We start from the raw sequence: 21,425 nt of genomic DNA on the forward strand, positions 1-21,425 counted from the left end.
TCAAGTACATTTTCCCTCTCTTCTCCCCTTTTAAAGGCCAAAGTACCTTCCAAGGTCAACGTTAGGGGTTTTAAAAGAGGATATTTGTACATTAAAATAGAAATTCCTGTAAAAAAATGTATCTTTTTGAGGGTTAGGCATGAAAGAATTATATACAAATTAAAAACAGCCAAGAGGAAGATATGCCAAGCTGCCTGGTGCTGAAAAATCTTGGACTTTATTTACTAAAGGCAAACTGAAAACACAAAGAATACTTGATTTTATCACTACTCTTTTAAACTCCAGTTCAAACAGCATTACATATTTCAAAGGTGACCTTAAAATATTTCGTGGAAGTCTTAACACAGGTGGATGCCTGGAAGAAATTTAAGACATTTGGCAGAAGAAACTACATTATTTTTCATGGAATTCCTTAATCTATTTCACTTCATATTTCATTTTTGGCATATATAACTTAAAAGTCCTGCAGAACTTCCAGAAACCCCCTCCTTTCCTAAAAGTGGAGTAATCTTTTTTCTTTACCCTATAGCTTTTAATAGTTGTTCTCAAACTCTAAAGTACATTAGAATCACTTAGAGGTCTTGTTAAATCACAGACTGCCAGGCCTCCCCCACCCCCAGAGTTGCTGATCAGTTGGTCTGAAGTGGGCCCAATAATCTGCATTTCTATCAAGTTCCTGGGTGATGGTTGATGCTGCTGGTCCAGTGATTTACACTTTGAGAACCACTGGCTTAGAAGACGTAATTTTACTTAACCAAGTCTATTTAATTTTTTCAGTTTCAGGCTCATGCCAAAGTCCCAAGAAAACAAAAAATATATAATGCACACACATACACACACCTCAAAGTTTCTATGAATTCTAGTTTTGGCAATTGCAACTAAAAGAATGCTTGTTCTCACCTTGCAGGAACTCCTATGGGTCCCCAGAGAGGCCAATTTAAATAGAAGTGAGTTTGTGGTTGACTCAAGTTTAAGGGTGATGCTTTTTTCTTTCTCACCTGTTCTTCTACTCTTAAAAATCAGTGGGGCCACCTATTTTACTATAAATTCTATATTAAGGGTCATAATTTGATCCTGTGCCTGAATCCATGTTACAATTCCCTAGGCTTTTAATAATAGGTTTTCTTGTGCAACTTATTGGAATGCCTGATGGAATGGAGGCAGACTGTACCTGGGGATCGACTGGTCTGAGCATGGGGGGTGTTCGAGCAGGCTGAACTCCACTAATGCTGAAGGACTCCGACCTTGGGGGCAGGTTGGGGTCAGATATCCTGTTGGCAACCTTGTGAGGCATGGCAGGGGAACTTTGCCGGTTGAGCCTTGACCGTTCTTCTACCTACAACCCAAAAAAAAAAAAAAAAAAAAGACAGCCTCAATGTATAGAAGTAGATCACCTTCTAGCAAGGATTTTCTGTAGTCACCTGCACAGCCATTTGAATCCTCTGATCAACTGATTTTAAGAAGACAAAACTCTGTGCTGCATCAAGAGTTTGCAAAGAGCAAACACTAGCAACAGCAACAACAAAATAGAACACCCAAGCCATCACTCTTCCATTACCCATTATCTAGTGTTATTCGGTTAGCAGGGAATTCGTGACCTGCTAAGAGTTTATCTTGTATTGATTGTGATATTATCTTACTGATTGGTCGCAATGCCATGGGGTCAGTGAGGAAGACAGTTTGCACTCTAGACAATCAAAGGGAATGGTAGCATGCATTTAGATGGCTTGGGGAACATAGAAAATTGCTTTGGGTTGACTCATGGAACATGAGAGGAAGAACAAGAGGATGAAGCTGAGTGCATGCACCCTGCATTTCTTCACGTGTCCTACTGATAGACAAGTGGGTGTTCCAGGCTGCCTGCTTAATGCGCGTGGCGTGTTTCAAATAGGCTTCCTGTATCACTTTCTTTTTCTCTCTTTAGGGGTCTTTCTTTCCAGTTGTCTTTCCTGCTTCCTCAAATACACTGCCCCATCTCATTCTTTCATGTCCAGCTTGGACTCCACTGTCTTGCTCTCCCCTTTCTTCCTCCCTGTTTCTACACATGTGGTGTTCATTCTTGCTTCTCCTCCTTTCTCTTCCCCTCTAACCCTGTCTTCTCTCAGGCTGTTTCATTTCCTTGTCATTCCCTTTCTTCCAGGGTCTCTTTCAGCCCAAAGCAGATAACAGATCCCAAGGGCTTCACGGGAAATGCTGAGCCAGTGAATGCCCTTTCTAAACAGGTCATCATTACCTTTAGTACATATTTACAGCAGAAAGACTGCCTCGGAGGGCAATTTTAAAGAGAAACTTAGATAAACAAGGTGCGCACTCTAAGATATGGCTTAAGATCTTAGACAACTTCAAGAAGCCTATGACTTTTCTTCCAGATCTACTGTGTCCTGTCCTTTATTTCTTCAGGACCAACTTGACTGTTGTGCTTCCCAAAGCCACCAGGACAATGCAACCATTCTCCCCACACTGATGGCCTTTACAGTGAGCCCTTAATTCTCTTCTGCTGACTCACTGAGCATTTTAAGAACCCACGTGCAGATGTTCAATATTCATGTCTGTTTGCATATTTTTTATGTAGCAGCTAAAAGTCTTTATTCATTTTACTGCCTGATTTGAAATAAAAACTTGAAAGAGCTATTTTCCCCCATCCTCCCTATCCCATTTTGAATCTTTCTAGAGGCAGACTCAATCAAATATACAAAGTAAGTCTGTTTTTAAACTCATACTAACCTCACATATTTTAACACAATAAGATAAGCTACAGAATGAAAAACAGCCCTCCTGCCTCTAGTGAGGAGTAATTTGAACATCTCTTCCCCCACCATGGCTGTGCAGGGTACATACAATTGGCTTTGGTTTTGAAATCCCGTGTCCCAGAAGCTTACCACACACCAAATGAGATTTGCTGCAAAAAGCCAGGAATATAAACCAGAACATGTGTACTTTGTGTGTGCATGTGTGCGAAGTATTACATCAGCAATAATTATTTGGCTATTGCATTGAGCAAAAGAACAAAGCCAGCTTTGAGATAAGACCACAAAGAAGAAAAAGTCCCACAAAGACAGCAATAGATAAACTGAGATCAAGGCATGCAATATATCACTTTTCCAAATGCCAGACTCTTTGAAAGAAGGTTAATATTTCTAGACCACTGGAATTGGTCAAATATTATCCATTTTCTTATTTTCAGGGTAGATCATTAATAGATAAGTCATACATAAGCATCCTTCAGTGTCTGAATTCCCACTATCCAAACCACTTGTCACCCAAAATTCAGGAACAAAATATATGCAGAGTGAGGAATACTTGTAATTATTATTTTTGGCTCTAAAATACACTGATAGCTTTAAATGTACATTAAGGGACAGCACATTAAAAACAATAGTAGAAAAGTTTGCCCCCAAAGACTCTATCTTGGGCAAAGAAACCATTTTTGAGATAAAGAAAGAATTCTTTTGGGAAGTGTCAGCAACAAGGCCCCAGTCTAAGCATCCCTGCTGCTAATAGGATCACAGGCCACAGGGGGCCCTAAAGCTATCATTAGAAATTAACAGGGCATTGGGAGGCCGAGGCGGGCGGATCACGAGGTCAGGAGATCGAGACCATCCTGGCTAACACGGTGAAACCCCGTCTCTACTAAAAATACAAAAAATTAGCCGGGCGTGGTAGCGGGCGCCGGTAGTCCCAGCTACTCGGGAGGCTGAGGCAGGAGAATGGCGTGAACCCGGGAGGCGGAGCTTGCAGTGAGCCGAGATCGCGCCACTGCACTCCAGCCTGGGCGACAGAGCGAGACTCCGTCTCAAAAAAAAAAAAAAAAAAAAAAAAAAAAAAAAAAAAAGAAATGAACAGGGCAGAAACTAGGGTACTGGTTTTCACAGGCAATGAATGGATTTGATTAGTCATGTATAGATGTTGCTAATGTACTTCTAGTAAAAATTTCTTATGCTTTCTAACAGTTTACATATTAAATTCTATCATTAGTATATTTCAGTCGGTACCATTCTAAAAATATATGGCATAAGTAATTGTTACACTTTGAAAATTATTTCAGGAAGGCTCCAGTGTACTGAAATTTCCTGGGTTGAAGTTTGTCCAAAGAAAATTGAAAATCTAAGAAAAGGGTGTAACGATGAGGCATCTCATTACGTACTTTGTCTCAAGAAAACCTAGTCCTGAAGTCTTTAGGAAGATAATGCCGCCCAAGTGTCTTTACACTGCAGAATCACCTTAAGAACTGGAGCAAAGGATCAAATCAAACATTGGAAGTGGCACTTCTCCTAATAATACCTTCAGATGGACAGAGAGAAAGCTGGATGGGGTATCTAGGCAGGCCCTTTTCATTATTTTCATACTAGACAAAGGCCTGTTCCCTGGTTTATCACAACTTATGTCTGCTGACTGAACAGGAGATAAATATGTGAGACAAAAAAAGAAAGTCTCCCTCCAAAACCTCTCCCATCTAGAAGAAAGATACATGTGATTAAAAACTGGGAACAACAAGATATGTTTCAATGCCTGAGGATGTTCAAAAAAGTCTAGGAGCCAAGTTTCTGCTCCAACTGCCTGCTTCCAAGAAGACATAAAATGCCAGGAGCACCAATTAGAAAGTGTTCCAGTACCATCAGGTATGGAGTGTGAAGGTGCTAGACCATAACAACAAAAGATACCTGTTATAAATGATTTCACAGTAGAAGGAATTATCAGAAATACAGAGAAGGTTAGCACAGACTGATCAACTTCACTATAAAAGTATTTTTTTCTTATTAAAAAATCGTTTCAACATGAAAACTAAAATAACTTTGGAGAAGTTTGGATCACCTCTGCAAAAATGCTATACTATTTACTATAGCATTATATAGAGAGAAAAAAAATAACTGTGGTCTCAGAAATAAAATTCTGCTCTAGACAGGTCTGTGTTATCCACTGCCTAGGATAGGAGTAATGTCTATGGCCTCTGCTATATATAAAGGCTATACAAATATAGACAACTTAAAAATAAATTTGTTAATTTCAGGATTTCCAAAACAATTTCAAAATAAATTTTTTAAAAAGTTAAAACATAATAAAGAGAAACACTGTATCAATGTCAATTGTCAAATTGTTTTTTATATTTTAAAACAATTTGTAGGTTACAGTGTCTCACTTTACAATAATGAATAACATCTACTGAGAATTTCAAAACATTTATAGAAGTAATTTTAAAACTGTTGACAGCAAATATATATTTACTATGTCATATGGGTGCATTCTAATAATATTTTATAATATGTAGAGTCCACGGGGTTTAGGAAGGTCTCAGAAGGCTTTACTTAAGAATTAATACATGGTGAATTCAACACAATCATATGGGTATTCTCTTTTTTTCCCCAACTGGACAAAACAGTTTGGTTTTTGTGTTTATTGGCAATGCTGGAGAAAGAGAAAGAAGCCAGTAAGTAACTTTTAAGTGCTCCTTAGATACTTTGACCCTGTACTCACTAGTCACATAAAGAGCTGAGTAATATCGTTGGGCAAAACCACATGGGCAGATGGTTACTGAGCAAGTTTGAGGATGCCCCTGCTCCGGGTCACCTCTGAGAACGGGGGAGACTCTCATTCATAAGGAATGCTTAAGATGCAATCTTGTCTGACTCTAAGGGCCTGGACTATTTTCCCAGATCAACTTCTTACTAATATTCCAGAAAAACGTATAGATCCCTGTGTGAATGGAGCACATACTTAAAAGTAATGAAGCAAAATCTTAGAAAGTTGATATAGGAAATAAAGAAGTGCTTATCTATCACCTGGGAGAGGTGGGTGAAGAGATAGGCGACGCCAGTGAATTGGTCATATGAAATCCAGACCAAAACAAGAGACAGAACACTTGTTCCTCATGAGCTACAACAGTCTTGGAAACAAAATAGGAATATGTTGAATACCATATTTCATTTGAATTTGTGTAGTATGTAACTTTAAATGGCACGTGCATATTCATTATTGCCCATGAGCTTCCCAATTGTGAGGCAGATGTGCGGATGAGGAAGCTGCATCTCAGGAAGGCAGGAGACACGCCCTAGGTCAGGCAGGCAGGAAGTGGAAGAACTTGAACTCAAACATACTCCTTACTATTTCCTTCCAGGTCTCTCCTATATTTAATCATAAGAGAGATATGCAGAAATGGAGGAAAGATATAAACTCTCTAAATGCTAGTTTGGGAACTTTATATATAAACTAACTAATATAAAAGGAAAAAGAAATCACTTAGGTATAGAGCAGAGAAATCCGGATGGAGAAGGAGTTTTTATACACAGTGATTTCAAAGTCCAGTGAACTAATGGAAATAAAGAGATATTTTGGCCCTTATCAGATTGATGTTTGCAAACAAACACTCCAGGACTGGCATATATCACAGAAAGAGAACACGATGGAGTGCTAAAAAAATTAAAATACAATCTCATGCAATACTCATGTAAACAAAGCATTCTTTCACTGCTGAGCTTTGGTACAATTTTTTTTTTAAGTATGTGGGATGGAAAAGGAAGGGGAGCCCACACAGTTATTGCCAGGCCCAGAAAATCACATGCCATTTAAGGAGCAGAAGAAAGAAAAAGGAATCTCCATCATCCAAAAAGTGAGGAAGAAGACCTTCAAATTCTGCCGATGTTCAACAGAACATCATACTGATATTTTCACAGTACATACCTGACATCCATCTCAACTCAGAAATGGCAGATAATTTGAAAGCAGTGAGAATGCCCCCAACCTGTCTATTTATTTATGTATTTATTTGAAACAGGGTCTCACTCTTTGCCCAGGCTGGAGTGCAGTGGTGCAATCATGACTCACTGCAGTCTCAACCTCCCAGGCTCAAGTCCCACCCTCAGCCTTTGGTGTAGCTGGGACCATAGGCATGCACCACCATGCCCAGCTAATTTTTATTATTATCTGTAGAGACACGGTTTCACTGTGTTGCCCAGGCTGGTCTCTAACTACTCCTGGGTTCCAGAGATCCTCCTGCTTTTGCCTCCCAAAGTGCTGGGATTATAGACGTGAGCCACCGTGCCTGGCTCCAAGCTGTCTTTTTAATGCAGAGACATTCATATTCTTTTAAATCAAGGCCAATGTGACATCCAGGACAGAAAGAATACTCAGTAAAAGGAGGGAGAGAAGAGCTCAACAAGATTTGCAAATGACTGAGCATTTTCACTTGCTCTACAATATCCAACATATTAATCAGAAAGGTACTCAGAAATGCAGTGATCACTTGTGTTTTACAAAATGAAGAAACAAGAACAGAGAGAACAAAGCAGTATAAGAGCATTACATTGCTGATAAAGGACTATCGATTTGGAATGAGGAAGAGGAGAAGTAGATGGAAAAGTAAGCAAAGAAGAAGAAAAAAAAACTTGATGAGACGGCATAGAGCTGAGTTACAAAACAAATGCTGGAACAGATTACAGAAGAGGTTGCAGTAGGTGGAAGAGAGCTAGGTGATACCTTCAGTGGCACATGGGGCAAAATAGTCCAGACCCTACACAACAGGAGACGGTGGCATGGGCACAGAGGGTGCATTTGAAAAAAAGAAAATGGCATCCTTTTATTTTACTTCCAGAGGGTTTAACCCAGGTTTTCTTATAACTTGATAGTTAAGATACTGATAAGCTATGTTCATATTTAAAGTTTTGAAACGTGTATTACTACTTGGTCACTTTGAGCCCCTGCCTTCCTAATATGAGAAAAGACATCTGTAAATAATGCTTTACATAAAAAGTTCATACACTGCTGATGAGAAGCATTAAAAGATCAAGAATGTAAAGATCCTTGCACTGATTTTTATTCCTACTAAGAAGTGGGTGTTAAAAATGATGACTCAAACCAAGGCAGACAATTATTTGTTCTTATTTGTACATCGATTGCTCCAGTCCTAAATTTAGCACTGTCACTCTCCTTCTATCAACTAAATGTTTCATCTTTCTTCTAAAATATGATCACCCACTCTAAGACTTGGGAACTGTTTCATGAACAGACAACGGTTAGTTGGAAGCTGGATTATGTTAACCACACCCAGGAGCAGAGGACTAAATATGAAATCCCCAAAGAATGTTCCCATATATCTGTGGAAATGCGTGAAGCCCAAAGGAAGCACACCAGATGCCAGGAAGCCAGGGACCTTGGAAGATGTCACCCACCAGAGATGGCCCAGACTTATGGTGACTGGGAAACCTCACATCAGGAGTGCTTGATGACTCAGGCATGTTGTTTGCATGCTCAAATGCTGTGTTTCTTTTACTGCTAGGAGCCTGACCAGGAAGCATGAGGGAATTAAGAGGTCTAGAAAAGTGCCTTGATGACATCTGCAAAGATCTGCCCCCAGGAATGCCATGTCTCCTGAAAGCTTGGGAGCTATGAACTAGTTCTGAATAGAGAGGACAGACCAGTAAATTTAGTGATGAGGACAAATAGCAACTGGAAAACAGTGAAGTCAAGGTAGACAAGTTCAAATCACAAGGTGCTGGGTAGAGGCTGAATGAAGGAGGTGAAAACTGTTTCATGCTTTTCCCCCTCTTCTGGTACATTTGTGCATGAGGGAGCTGTCTAGGGGAAAGAAGAAATTCTGGAATGGTTTGCACAACATAATGATCTTTTCCAATGGGATCTGTAGGTGTCCCTCTCCTAAACTCATGCTTGGGGCTGGGAACACTGAAAGCCAAGTGGTCATGCATCAAGGGGAGGTCGCTTAGCGATGCAGCATTTCTTAGAAAAGTAGAAGCACTTGTAAAGATGCATGAGTTCATGCTCTTCCTGCCCCAAGGTCTACATGAATCTCTAAGGCCCTCCTGAATTGCAGTAATGGACAACTCGGGGCTTGTCACTTTGGAGACGTTGGGAGAAGACACACAAATGACCTTAGATCCTAACTCTCGAGTTGGGCTACATCCTTGGGAGTGAGAGTGCCTTGGAGATCTCACTATGGTCCTCAAGACTTCCTGAGGCTTCATTTGTTCTTCCAAACCAAGTCTAATAGGACAAGCTCGTCCATCTTTCTCCCATGGGTGATGCTCAAGCAGGAGTCTTGGTCTGGAATCATTAATTCCTGCAGGTGCTACTGACATTAGCTTTGTAGAGGCTAGTTTTTCAGTGGTCTGAACACCTGCCATGGTCAGGAGCTGTGGGTCTGGCTTAGCTGAGGATTTCAACTTGGCATGGCTAGGAAATGGTTTAGCAGTAGAGGAAGGTGGTGCATGCCTGCCAGCCAAGAAGCATGTCAGCTGCTGTTTAGCAGCATAGTGATTTTGCTTAGCTGGAAGAACAGGTGGATTATTAAGGGGTCGATGCTGTACCTGGGAGTAGGATCACAAAATTGAATTACTGATCTAAGAGAAAGAGGCAGATGTTAGAGACATAGGTAAATATGGATCATGTTTACAGATGTAAGGGAAAGTGATAAAAAATTCTTCATCACAAATCAAAACAATTTTTCCACACACTTAGTTTAACTTTTAAAAGAAAAAAGTTATTTTCACAAAAAAATACATGATCACTCTAAAGGATTTAAACAATATGTAAAAGTACAAAAAAGTTTTTAAAAATCCTTTTTTTTTTTTTTTTTTTTTTTTTACTTTCTGCTCCCATAAACCACTATCATTAACATTAGGACAACATTATGTCAAGTATTTTCTGTACATATGTCAGATAGGTTAGACAAATACAAAGAATTATTTTCATAAAAATAGGATCTTATGTAAGAAATCTGGTTCTAGTAATATTGCATTCTAGATAACTTGAAAAAAGCGTGAGCTATCAATATCTAAAGATTCTAGATAAAAATACAAAATAACTCCAAAACATCCTTTTAAATGACCAGCTATGATCACCATAAAATAAAGGAAATCACTAGATGCCAGAAATAATGATTGAACTGAAAACCAGCGTGTTATGCACATGACCTCACACAGTGACTCCCTGGAAAGGTTGCTGATTTGGTTGGGGTTATTTTGTTTGTTTGCTTTACCTGTCTGGCTATCACCCTTTTTTCCCTCCCATCCAAGCAGTTTTTATTAAAATAGCTCAACATAGTGCTAAGTTCCTGAAAATCCTTTCTTAGTCTAGTAGTTAAGCAAATGAAGGAAGTATGTGTAGAAGAAACACTAATGACCTCTGATCTTAAAAGTGAATACCACCACCACAAGTCTGAGGTCAACTGTGCATCTGCTGGTAGTATCACAGTGAACAAAGTTATGTTAGTGACAATGTTAATGATCAGCAACAGGGTCCAGGCATGGACAGGAACTGATTCTTCCTAGAATTCTATAAATCCTTAATCACATTATTCAACAAAAAGGTCACTAAAAATCCTCCATGCCACAAATTCAATTGGATGAGTAACAGAAAAAAGGTTTTTTCTATCTTCTGTTATTTCCTATAAAAGTCCATTGCAACCACAAAGATATACAAAAAAAAAAAAAAAACAAAAACAAAACCTCACAAATGAAGGAAGGTATCTTGCCATTTCTCTACAGAAATAATGTTATAGTTCTTGCAAAAGCAAAGCATGTGTCTTATGATGAATTGTTTTCCAACTTTGCAGCACTGGGTTAACTCTCCACTTCTATCACACAAACTCATTAGAGTCAAAAGCCTGGCCAACAGGGTGAGGCTACCCTTGCTTACTTACCTCCTTGGCCCATGCTGGCTTCTCACTAGGACTCATTCCTTCTTTGTAATGGTACAGTGGCTTCTTCTCCACAGGCCTCTGCTCCTGCCGCTGATGCTGAAGGGAAACTAAGTAGTCTCTTTCTTGCTTTAGCTGCCTCTGCAGTCTTTCTGCTTGTCTCTGTTCTTCCAATTGTTTGCGCTTATATTCCTGTCCAGATCAGGAAAGAGGAGCAAAGAAAAGGCCAAATTATCACATAGAAATCATCGGCCAGTACCAGATAAGCATGCAATGGAGGCAAAATAATGCTAAATAACAAAGGATCTTAATACCAACAGAATGACAGAAGGATGTCAGGATGTGCCACAGAAATAAGCTACTGCCTTGTGTTAGTATCTACACAAGAATGTGTCATTTAATGAAAACGCTATTGCTTTAAAATGGCAATCCCTACCGAACCCCATCAATTACAAAATGACTTGTCCCTGATGAATTACAAGTGACAAAATGGCAATAATGAGGACATTTAAATGGTCGGCATACAACTCCTAGAAAAAGTCACCCACTTCCTGATCTAGTAATTAAACCACTCAAACATGTACAATTAAGTACAAACTAAGCAGCCAAAGATAGTGCCTAAATCATCTTTCATTTAATAAAACTTGGACCTACAAAGGCCATTAGCAAGCTTATGTACAGGCTAAAAAACATCAGAATGCCATTAAATAAAAAGTTCAGTTTTAAAAAATACACCAAAAAGCCCATCTGGAGAGCAGTGCTATAATAATAAAAAAGTACTGTACTTCAAGTGGAAGCTGCATGAGCAAGGGACACAAAATGTTCCCATCGTAAGGGTAAAGCTAATAGTCTGTAAATGAAATATGACTGTAGAGCTGATGGGTTCTTATGGGAGAGGTGCATTTTGCTGTGATTGTATTCCAGCATGTCGCAAATGGCCTTAAAAATTACTCTGCAATAAACACAGTAGGTCTCAAAAGCAGTTTGTACTTATAATAAGGCTGGATTTATATTCAAGTTGTACAAATAAATGGAGTTAATAAAGAATGCATAACAACTGTATTAAATATATTAGGACTCAGCAAAATCAATCAGAAAATGTATTAAGTTTCTATGAGGTTTTTGAGGTCCCTGAGGCTTAGAAGATCCCCTCTTCTGGACTGGTATGTTAGAAGGACACACGCACGCGCGCACACACACACACACACACACACACACACACACACAAACACTTGCAAGATGAACACAGAGCAGGTCAGCTGGTTCTTGGCTTTCTCATTACCAGAAGTAGAGCTTGTTCATGCAGTAGCTGCTGCTGCAAGATCTCTAACTGTCTCTGCTCCTCCTCTAACTGTCGCCTGATGTATTCCTGGAGAGGTAGGCAGCAGAGAATTCAGAGGAACAGAAAGAAAGAGAGAAATGAACCAGTAATTTCAAAGGCGACAAGAGCCGCTAAGTAAAGTGTAGAAGGAAGGAGGGGAAAAATACCCAAATACCTTCTTACAAAGCAGGAAGAGTATGTCACATGGAAGCAAATGCATTTCAACATAATGAAAAGCACAAGCCCCTCTACCTGCAACAGCTGACTGCGATGTCTCGGCATTTTACTGCTACTACTTGGTTTTAATAAGCCCAGCTACATGTTAAAGCTTTTCATTACAGGTTCCTCTCTTTATGGACTACCTGGAATTAACAATGCTATAAAGTTCAGAGGCTCCTGTGCAAGCAGCAGGAATAAGACAACTGTTGAATGCCATCGTGCACTGTCTTTGTAATGGAACCATCCTGCAGAGTTTCACTATGCTGTAAGAATGTGATTCTAGCAAAGAGAGATGGGCCTGCATCAATGACTCAAAGTCATAAAGACCAGAGATGGCATGAGTAGAAAAGCTCTTCTGAAGCAGTGAAAGAGTGGGACTTGGCTGATTTTTCATGCTTCAGTGCTACCTTCAAATCAGATACCGAGGGTTGGGAGAATCGGAAGATCCGGGTATGTCAGGGAACTCTGTCTGGGTAGAAAGCAAGGCTGAATAGGTGGGCATTGCCAAGGTTGTACATTTGACTTCTTGAATAGGTGAGCATAATTGCTTGAGGAAGAGTAAAAACCCATGTAAACTGAGCATTCCTCAGAAAAGGTGACCCACACCCCAGAGAAGGCTGGTGCTGGGGTCCCCGGGGGGCCATCAGTGGGGCTCCTGGTCCCAGCTGTACCTGTTCATGCTCCGCACGCCTCCTCTCCTCCTCCCGGCGCATCTGCTCCTCATAGTGCCGGCGCTGCTCCCTCTCCTGCTGCTTCCGCAGCTCCTTCTCTCGCCTTTGTTGCTGTGGGGCAACAAGCAGACAACCATGAAGGCAACAGGCCCCGGTGGGGGGTGTCAGGGAGCCAGCAGGAAAAGCTGTTGAACCCCAGACATGAACTTTTAATGAGATATGCCTAAATGCTCCAAGGTTCTTCTCTCCGGGGCTGTTGGAGGGTACACTGGCAGGGAGCGGGTGAGAGAGAGAGATTCAGTGTCACGCATAACATACTTCCATTTACCATGTAAGTAGACTCTCACCAAGACGTTCCTGTTAAGTGTGTTCTCCCCACAGCTGGTGAGGGTTTTCAAGTCAGGCGTAGAAAACACCAATGCAAAACAGGTTATTTATTACATATCATCAAGTTGTTTATGAAATTACTTCACAATGCTTAAGTCATTCAATCTGTTTAACACCATGTAACACAAAAATTTCATAGATATGTAAAAATCAGAGCGGTGAAGTGACATATTCAAAGCCATACAGAATTGATGGCAGAGGGTGCTTTAGGATTTACTGACTCCCACCTAGTCTGCTACCTTTTCTCATATATCATGCTGCCTGTCTGTGTTTTCTGGAGTATTCATTATTAAGTGTCAATTTCAAGTTCTTGCTCGAATAAGACCCTTATGCTTGGGAGCCATCATCATCATCATCGTCATCGTCAATCATCGTCATCACCTCATACAATTACCATGCCTCCAACAGTGGACAGTGTGATAAACAGCTTACATGCTTTATTTCATTTCATCTTCACAAAAATAAGTGGATGTCACTATTATCTCCATTTTATCTGAGAAAACTGAGGTACGGAGAGATTAAGTAATTGTTCAAGGTCACACCCAGTAAATGGCAGAGCTTGATTTCATAGCCAGACGATGTGACTCCAGCATCTGAGCTCAATCATTAAGGAAGTCCAAGAAGCCAGAGGAATGATAGAAAGATCACAAAGTATCTGGCTCTTCATTATACTCTCAGGAAAGGAGAACATTTTAGAAGTTAGAACTAGGCCAAGCAGTTACAGGAGCCAGTGGTTCTCAAGTAGGAGCAGTGCCATTACCCCTCTCTGGAGCATTTGCAACTATCTAAGGACATGTGAGGAGTATTTTTGCTGGTTCTGATGACTGAGGAGCATGACTGGCATTTACCATGAGAGGCTAGTGATGCCAAACATCCTGTGCAAGGCACAGGATTGTCACATATTACCAAGTCTTTTCCCATACATCATGGCATTAGTGCACCTTTTGAGAGAGGCGGCTGGCCCTTTGTGTCAGATCCTTTATTGGCTTTGGGATTTCTTTTTCCTCATATATGAAGTTCAGAGGGGACATACCAGGGGGACCATTTCCTTGTCACATTCTCAACAAGACTTCATTGCATAGCTTAGGAAACATGAGGTACCCAGAGTGGAATAAATTGTGACTGTCTCACACTGATAAGTTAGCTCTACACAACCAGGGAGATAGTTTTTTACACAAGTTCTGTGTCTCAGCCCCAGCTAAACCAACCACAGATATTCAGAATGCCAGAGAAGCCCATGTGGAAACCTTCCCGATGGAGCTCCTGCAGCAATCCTCCGGACCTGCTGTCTTCCAATAACCTCTGAGTCTTGGGAGATAAGCTGCGTCTCTTAAGACTCAGTTTCTGTCACTTCCAGATCAACAATGATTTTTCCATCTTGGATTGCAGGCGAAGGAGAGCTATTGGAGGACTTCATGCAGCCAAATGACTTGATCAGACTTGCATTTTCAAAAGGCCTCCCCATCATCCATGAAAAGGGGCAAGACTAGAAGCTGAAAAGCAGTGCAAGGCCATTCTGTGGATCTAGGTATAAAATGATAGGGCATCGATGATTTCAGCAAAGGCGGGATGAGAGTCCATGTTTATAATCACTGCTGAGGATGGAGACACAGCCAAGAGGAATAAAGACTAACAACTATACAGGTTGCTGGTCATTCTAATAGGACTTCAGTGGACACCAATTTAGAAACAGAAATTAGAATTAGGCCAAAATAAAATAGGCAGGATTTGGTGACGACAGGTTGTAGGAGGGCAGGTGAAGTCCCCGGCCAAGGGGCACAGTGGACGATGGGATAGAGAAGAGCAGGAAAAGTAGGAGTGGGGTGGGTACCAGCATGAGGCAAGTCCCAGACATGCAAGTATTTGTTTTACAGAAAAATAATACAGGAAGATGCGAGTAGAAAACATCAGCATAGGCACTGACTGAATAATTTGGATTACAGACCCAAAACAGAGACATTTCCAATACTCAACCAAAGTGAATCAGTGCCAGCACAGAGAATAAAATAATTATGTGTACAGATCTGGATCCTGGCAGGAAATAGCACTAATTTAGCTAATATTTCAAATTTCTTACTCCAACCATCCGTCTCTTTCTTAAGGAAAGGAAAATAATCAAGCCCTTTGAAGAGTTAGCTGATCTTTATGTGAAGGATTTGTACATTTTGAACCCCTTTGCCAGGAATCAATACTGTTTTATAATTACATGCCACTCAGGTCCCTGTGCAAGGTGTATACAGTATTGATTGCAACTCAAGAGCGTCTGGGCTTCCCAAGTACTCTGTAGTTTCTGAGAAAGACACTCAAAAGTAACTAATAATTAATAATGATCTCACTCGGATCAGCAGCCGCTAACACATGGAGGCATCTGCCAGGGCTTTGGTTCCTGTGGTGAGGTTGGAAAAATAAATCGCTTTCCCAACCTTCTGAGGGCACCCTGCCAATTTCCAGCTGCTGTGTCTCAATGTTAATGCCATTCTTGAAAAAATATTTGCTTTCTCTCCTCCTGTGCATGGAGCCGTATGAGGGAGGGGATATAAAAAAAACATATCAATGCAAGACCAAGTCCCTGGCCTCAGGCAGACACCTTTACAAAGCTCTGATGACTCTTGCTAGAAGCAGCTCTCTGAGGGCAAGGCCAGTGCTTGATTTCTGCTGTACCCCAACCCCTCAGACGGGGGCCTGGCACCTGGCAGGTGCACCTAAGAGTTTGTTGCGCTGAACATAGTAAGAAACTTGAGGGAAAAGACAACACAGTATCCTCTTAAATTTCTTTGTAGAATTTTTCCTCCTGTCAATACTGACGGTATGGCTACCTTTCCATACCTTATAGTATGGCTATTTGAGTATATCTTACCAACTTTGCAATCTAGATTGAAAGCCGTGTGTGGGCAAGATCTCTGTTCCACTTGTTTTTATCTCCCATTGTTTCCATATCAGGCCAGCCACCAGTGATATTTGTTGTGTTGAATACTGCAAACTGGCTAAGTAATAGAAGAGGGGAGAGCCCTGCAGAGCTTTGTACCAGACCTTTACTCTTTGATGCCCTTCTTAAGTAGCTCTTATTGGCTGGAACATTCTTTTATATTGAACACAGACAGAACTGGAGAATGTTCTTCTAAAAAGAGCCACCTACAGTTGGCACTGGAATGTACCTGTTTGCCATCTTAGAGAAAGGCATGAAAAATAAGGGAATAAGAGTCTAAACTGGAAAAAAAGGGAAAGGGGAGAATCAAATAGCATTCCTAGATCTTATTCAAATTATACATAATGAAGATAGTGGTCCTGCTATCAGAAAAGAATGGCTGAAACCAACTACTCTAAAACTGTTGGCAGATTCTCCACCTATATTGAACTGCCTAGAAGTATATTTTCATCCATGTCTTCTTGTAGGCATTGCTAAAAGTTATATTCCTTAAAATTGGACATTCAGTTGCTTCTTATAAGTTTCTTAATTTTTTTTCCGGTGGGGAGATGATGGATAGAACCTACTGTTAAAGTTTTCCAGGCCCTAACAATTGTTGCCTTACTCTATGGAGTAGATAATCAGGGACTTCATGTCCCTTTTGTCTTCTGTTGATGTTCGCCAAGGATGATTTCTTTTTAGGACAATTCCTTTTTATTTTTATTTTAAGATATTTTAAATTTCTTATTTTAGACATTAGAGAAAGGCATGAAATATTTAAAAGTTCTTATTTTAAATATTTATGATTGACATGTAATAATTGGACATATTTATGGGGTACAATGTGATGTTTACATACATGTATAAATTATGTAATGATCAAGTCAGTGTAATTAGCATATCTACCATCTTAAACACTTACCATTGCTTTGTGACGAGAGTATTCAAAAACCTTTTATAGCTATTTTGAAATATGTAATACATTGTGAATTTCAGCCATCCTCTTATGCAATAGAACACCAGCACTTATTCCTCTCGTCTATAGCTTTGCACCCATTGACCAGTCTCTCACCACTGCCCCCTGCCAATCCTCTGGTAACCACTGTTCTACTCTTTCTTTCTATGAGAGTGACATCTTAGATTCCACCAGTGAGTGAGATCATATGGTATTTGTCTTTCTGTGCCTGGAATCTTTCACTTGATATAATGTCTTCCAGGTTCATCTACGTTGCTGCAAACAACAGAATCTCACTTTTTTATGGATGAATAGTACTTCATTGTATGTAAGTACCACATTTTCTTTATTCACGCATCCACTGATGGACACTTGGGTTCATTCCATATCTGGTCTATTGTGAATAGTGCTGCAATAAACAAAGGAGCACAGCTATCTCTCTCTTTTTTTTTTTTTTTTGAGATGGAGTCTTGCTCTGTCGCCCAGGCTGGAGTACAGTGGTGCAATCTCAGCTCGCTTCAAGCTCCACCTCCCGGGTTCACGCCATTCTCCTGCCTCAGCCTCCCGAGTAGCTGGGACTACAGGCGCCCGCCACCACGCCTGGCTAATTTTTTGGATTTTTAGTAGAGACGGGGTATCACCGTGTTAGCCAGGATGGTCTCGATCTCCTGACCTCATGATCCGCCCGCCTCGGCCTCCCAAAGTGCTGGGATTACAGGTGTGAGCCACCGCACCCGGCCACAGCTATCTCTTGAACACACAGACTTCCCTTCCTCTGGCTATACACCCAGTGGTGGGATTGCTGGATCTGGGGATCTATTGGGGGCAGTTTTGATCCTCCCTATGAATGCTCCCCTCACGCTACCTCTAGGTGGAGGCTGTGTGGCTGCACTTTCAAGCATGTGAATTTGTTAGTTAATTTTAATGAGGGAATAGTAATTTTGTCCCACCTGTTCAGGGGGCCCTCAAAGGTAATGCATTTATCCCAAATTGGCTATGTAGAATTTTTGCTGTTTAAATTCTTTGCAGAGAATATCACCTCAACCCTTAAATTCTGAATTGTCATTAGAGGTCTAGTTTTAAGAGATAATCCTCATGCATATTCCTCACAAGGGCTGTGGAGTCAGTCTTTCCTTTTTTTTTTTTTTTTTGTTTAAATGCTCTTCTTAGATTACTTTAGATAAGCAGAAAAGTACGCACCTACACCAGGGTGTTCTAGCTCTCATAGAAGTGACTTTGATGAACTGCAATGCCATAAAATTGCATTTTATGATGTCTTCAAAATAGCTGAATAAAGCTAACCACTGCATTTATGCCAGGAATATTGCCTCAGACATTATTCATTGCACTACTTACTAGGCAAGTGTATAGTTTTCAGTGTGATCTCAGAAAGCTTGTCTGAGTAACTGGTTTACTCTTATCTGATGGACAACATGAATCTCAACCACTTCACATCTGTCTCTTTTCTCATGTGTCAGGCCTCAGAGCAGATTGGTGACCGCCCTGGGCAACAGCGCTGGATGCCATGTTGTGCAGGCATTCTGTGCACTGACCCCGCTCCTGCCTGCATCTTCTTTCTCCGTTCTACTTTATGTTCCCTTCTACATTGTCTTCTTGTTTATTTTACTTTTAATTGCTGTATTAATCTCTTTAAGCCACCTTAACTCCTCCTTTTGGAATGAGGAAAAGTCATAATAAGCCAAAAAATGAGAAACAAATCTTGGCCCTGGTCCATCTTTTATATACATCATATTTCCCATTATATGGACCCAAGTGATATCCACATCTGAGAATTAATATCCTATAGCTGCAATGCAACGTGTCATTGGGATAGAGGGGTAGGCAAGAGAGGCAACAGGGCTTGGGGAAAGAATAAAATGGTTTGGAAACAGACTAGATTCTGGTCCTGCACTGCCACCAATACGAACACTGAAGACCACGTAGCAGCGCTCTGTAAATATGTGTTTGATGGCCGGGCTCACACCTGTAATCCCAGCACTCTGGGAGGCCAAGGCGAGCGGATCACCTGAGGTCAGGAGTTTGACACCAGCCTGGCCAACATGGTGAAAACCCGTCTCTACTAAAAATACAAAAATTAGCTGGGTGTGATGGTGCGTGCCTCTAATCCCAGCTACTCAGGAGGCTGAGGCAGGAGAATTGCTTGAACCCAGGAGGCGGAGGTTGCAGTGAGCTGAGATCGTGCCACTGTACGAGATTGTGCCTGGGTGACAGAGTGAGACTTCATCTCAAAAAAAAAAAAAAAAAAAAGTGACGAATGAGTGAATGTTGTTTGACCTTGAGTAAGTCACCTTCAGCTAAACTTTCAATGAGGGTATAGATTAAGTAATCTTGCAAATCTGTTCATTCTAAGAGTCTGAGCAAGGTTATGCTACATTGCAAAGCAAAAATCTAACCATTCAGAGTGAAACGAAGCAGAATTCTTATTTGCCCTTGGAGAGCTCCTGTTGCTTTTCATCTTGGGTGACCTCCTGAAAGCGGTGAGAGGAAACCCTACTGTGACTGTGGAAGACCCGAGTTGGCCTCCAGAGGACAGGAAAACGGCTGGTGCAAGATCAAGTCAGGCTCCTTGGGAAGTACCTCAAACCATCCCCTCCACCCAGGGGCTCTCTGTTCAAAGACACTCAGAATGAAAGGACCCAGTGTGGTCTTTTGAATTGACTGCACATCACACATGCCCCCTCACTTTAAATAGGACCATTCTGTATAAGCTTCACGGGAGCTATACTTGTGATGAGAGGTATTCCAGCTTCTGGGCATTCCATTTTCCCATTTAACGTTGCTAAAGTTTTAGTTTTGGAAAGATCATTGCAAACCAATGACTATAGGGTAAGGGCATGATTCCTTGTGACTAAAACTGGAGTTCCAAACCTTTTTTTATGTAAGGACACAAGAGTGATGAGGAAGCAGTCTGGCACCTCTGAATTCACTATATGACAATGAAATAAAAACAAAAATAATAATAACTATATGCATAATGAAGAACACTTACGTAGTGCAGCCTATGATGCCAAGCACTGTACTCATATTAACTCATTTAATTCTCACCAGAACCCTTTGAGGCAGGTAATACTGTCATCACCCCCATTTGACAGTTAAGGAAACTGAGGCACATCCAGGCCAATATCTTGCCCAAGTTCACTCGGTTGGTAAGTGCGAGGCCAGGATTTATATTCCATGCCTGACTCTTGCCATGCTGCCTCATTTGGGTCCACAAGAAGCATCTGTGTGTACAAAGTAAAAGATACTGTCTAATGCTTTTTAAAGTTGCCATTTTCCCCTCTTTCTATCTTTACTTGTTACCTACCTTAACTTGTTACCTACCTTAAAGCTACCATAGCTTTCCCAATGTTCTCAGAAATAGTAATCAGAGAACATTGGGAAAGCTAGACAGGCCAGATATAACTCATTCCTTTCTTTCTACACCTACTTTACACCATGAGAGATAAACTATCCAACCTACCCTTTGAGAGCTTTCCTGAAAAATTAACTGCCTAAGTGAAGCCTTTTCTTTGTGCTCACAGGCCAACTTTTGATTAGCAGACAGCCCCATGGCTAAGCACTGTCAAGCACATGTGTGCAAGCTGGTCTTTGCGGACACTGAAAGAGGCATGACAGTTCTAAACAGACTGAGCTTCACGAAGCGGTGCAGAAGAATTCTCATCCTGCCTCTTCCATGGATGCTAGTCAATGTGATTATTCACAAACTCCTTAGTGTCTCTGAGCCTCAGTTTCTCCTGGGAGAACAGTCACACGGGATTTCCCAGGTGTCATACAGAGGAGCAAGAATGGCCTAATGGACATCCCTAGTACCTACGACTCTGAATGTTAGTGTGAAAGTCAAATGCAGATGAAACCCCCAAATTCCTACTGTCATCATTCTGAAGCCTTAGTATGAGACCCTCAGACTGAGTCCTATGAAGACAAGCCAGTTATAAACCAGTTTATTAATACAGTATTTACAGAGAGGGCCACTCCAGTACTCCCGAGATGATACTAAAGATGCTAACTTATACGTAGAAAGGTTGCAGGAACTGGTAACATTTGTGGGAAAACATTATTAATGTCTTCACACATTTCTAGGGCAGATATGCAGGGAATTTCAGTTTTATTTGGCACAACCTGTATTAATGCAGGGATATCACAAGAACTCGAATCAACGAAAAGATAACTTTTCCAACATTAGGAGTTGTTCAAAAATAGAATGTGCTGCCTCAAGCCCACGGACATACAAGGAAAGATTATATGTTAAACAGGTTAGATAACCCTGTTTGAAGAATATTGCAAAAGGAATTCTTGCTTTG

General features: G+C 40.8%; 1 protein-coding gene and 1 long non-coding RNA gene across 9 annotated transcripts in view; one reads left to right on the forward strand and one right to left on the reverse strand.

Moving 5' to 3' along the window:
- TNIK (TRAF2 and NCK interacting kinase) overlaps nucleotides 1–21,425 on the reverse strand; it is a 401,995-nt gene that overhangs the window by 69,129 nt on the left and 311,441 nt on the right. For 2 of the 8 annotated variants that reach the window (NM_001161560.3, NM_015028.4), the window contains exons 13-16: nucleotides 12,857–12,967; nucleotides 11,928–12,014; nucleotides 10,649–10,837; nucleotides 1,172–1,336 (exon numbers count right to left, since the gene is read on the reverse strand). In NM_001161560.3, the coding sequence (NP_001155032.1) occupies nucleotides 1,172–1,336; nucleotides 10,649–10,837; nucleotides 11,928–12,014; nucleotides 12,857–12,967 (552 nt within the window). The remainder of the gene's footprint in view (nucleotides 1–1,171; nucleotides 1,337–10,648; nucleotides 10,838–11,927; nucleotides 12,015–12,856; nucleotides 12,968–21,425) is intronic. The other 6 variants (NM_001161562.3, NM_001161561.3, NM_001161564.3 and 3 more) reach the window with 3 other exon arrangements.
- Nucleotides 1–21,425, forward strand: part of LOC105374216 (uncharacterized) — a 59,021-nt gene that overhangs the window by 25,401 nt on the left and 12,195 nt on the right. The window contains exon 4 of the long non-coding RNA XR_007096163.1: nucleotides 17,366–17,431. This is a non-coding gene — a long non-coding RNA (uncharacterized LOC105374216). The remainder of the gene's footprint in view (nucleotides 1–17,365; nucleotides 17,432–21,425) is intronic.

The sequence above is a fragment of the Homo sapiens genome, chromosome 3, assembly GCF_000001405.40.
Source record: "Homo sapiens chromosome 3, GRCh38.p14 Primary Assembly".
Classification (NCBI taxonomy): domain Eukaryota; kingdom Metazoa; phylum Chordata; class Mammalia; order Primates; family Hominidae; genus Homo; species Homo sapiens.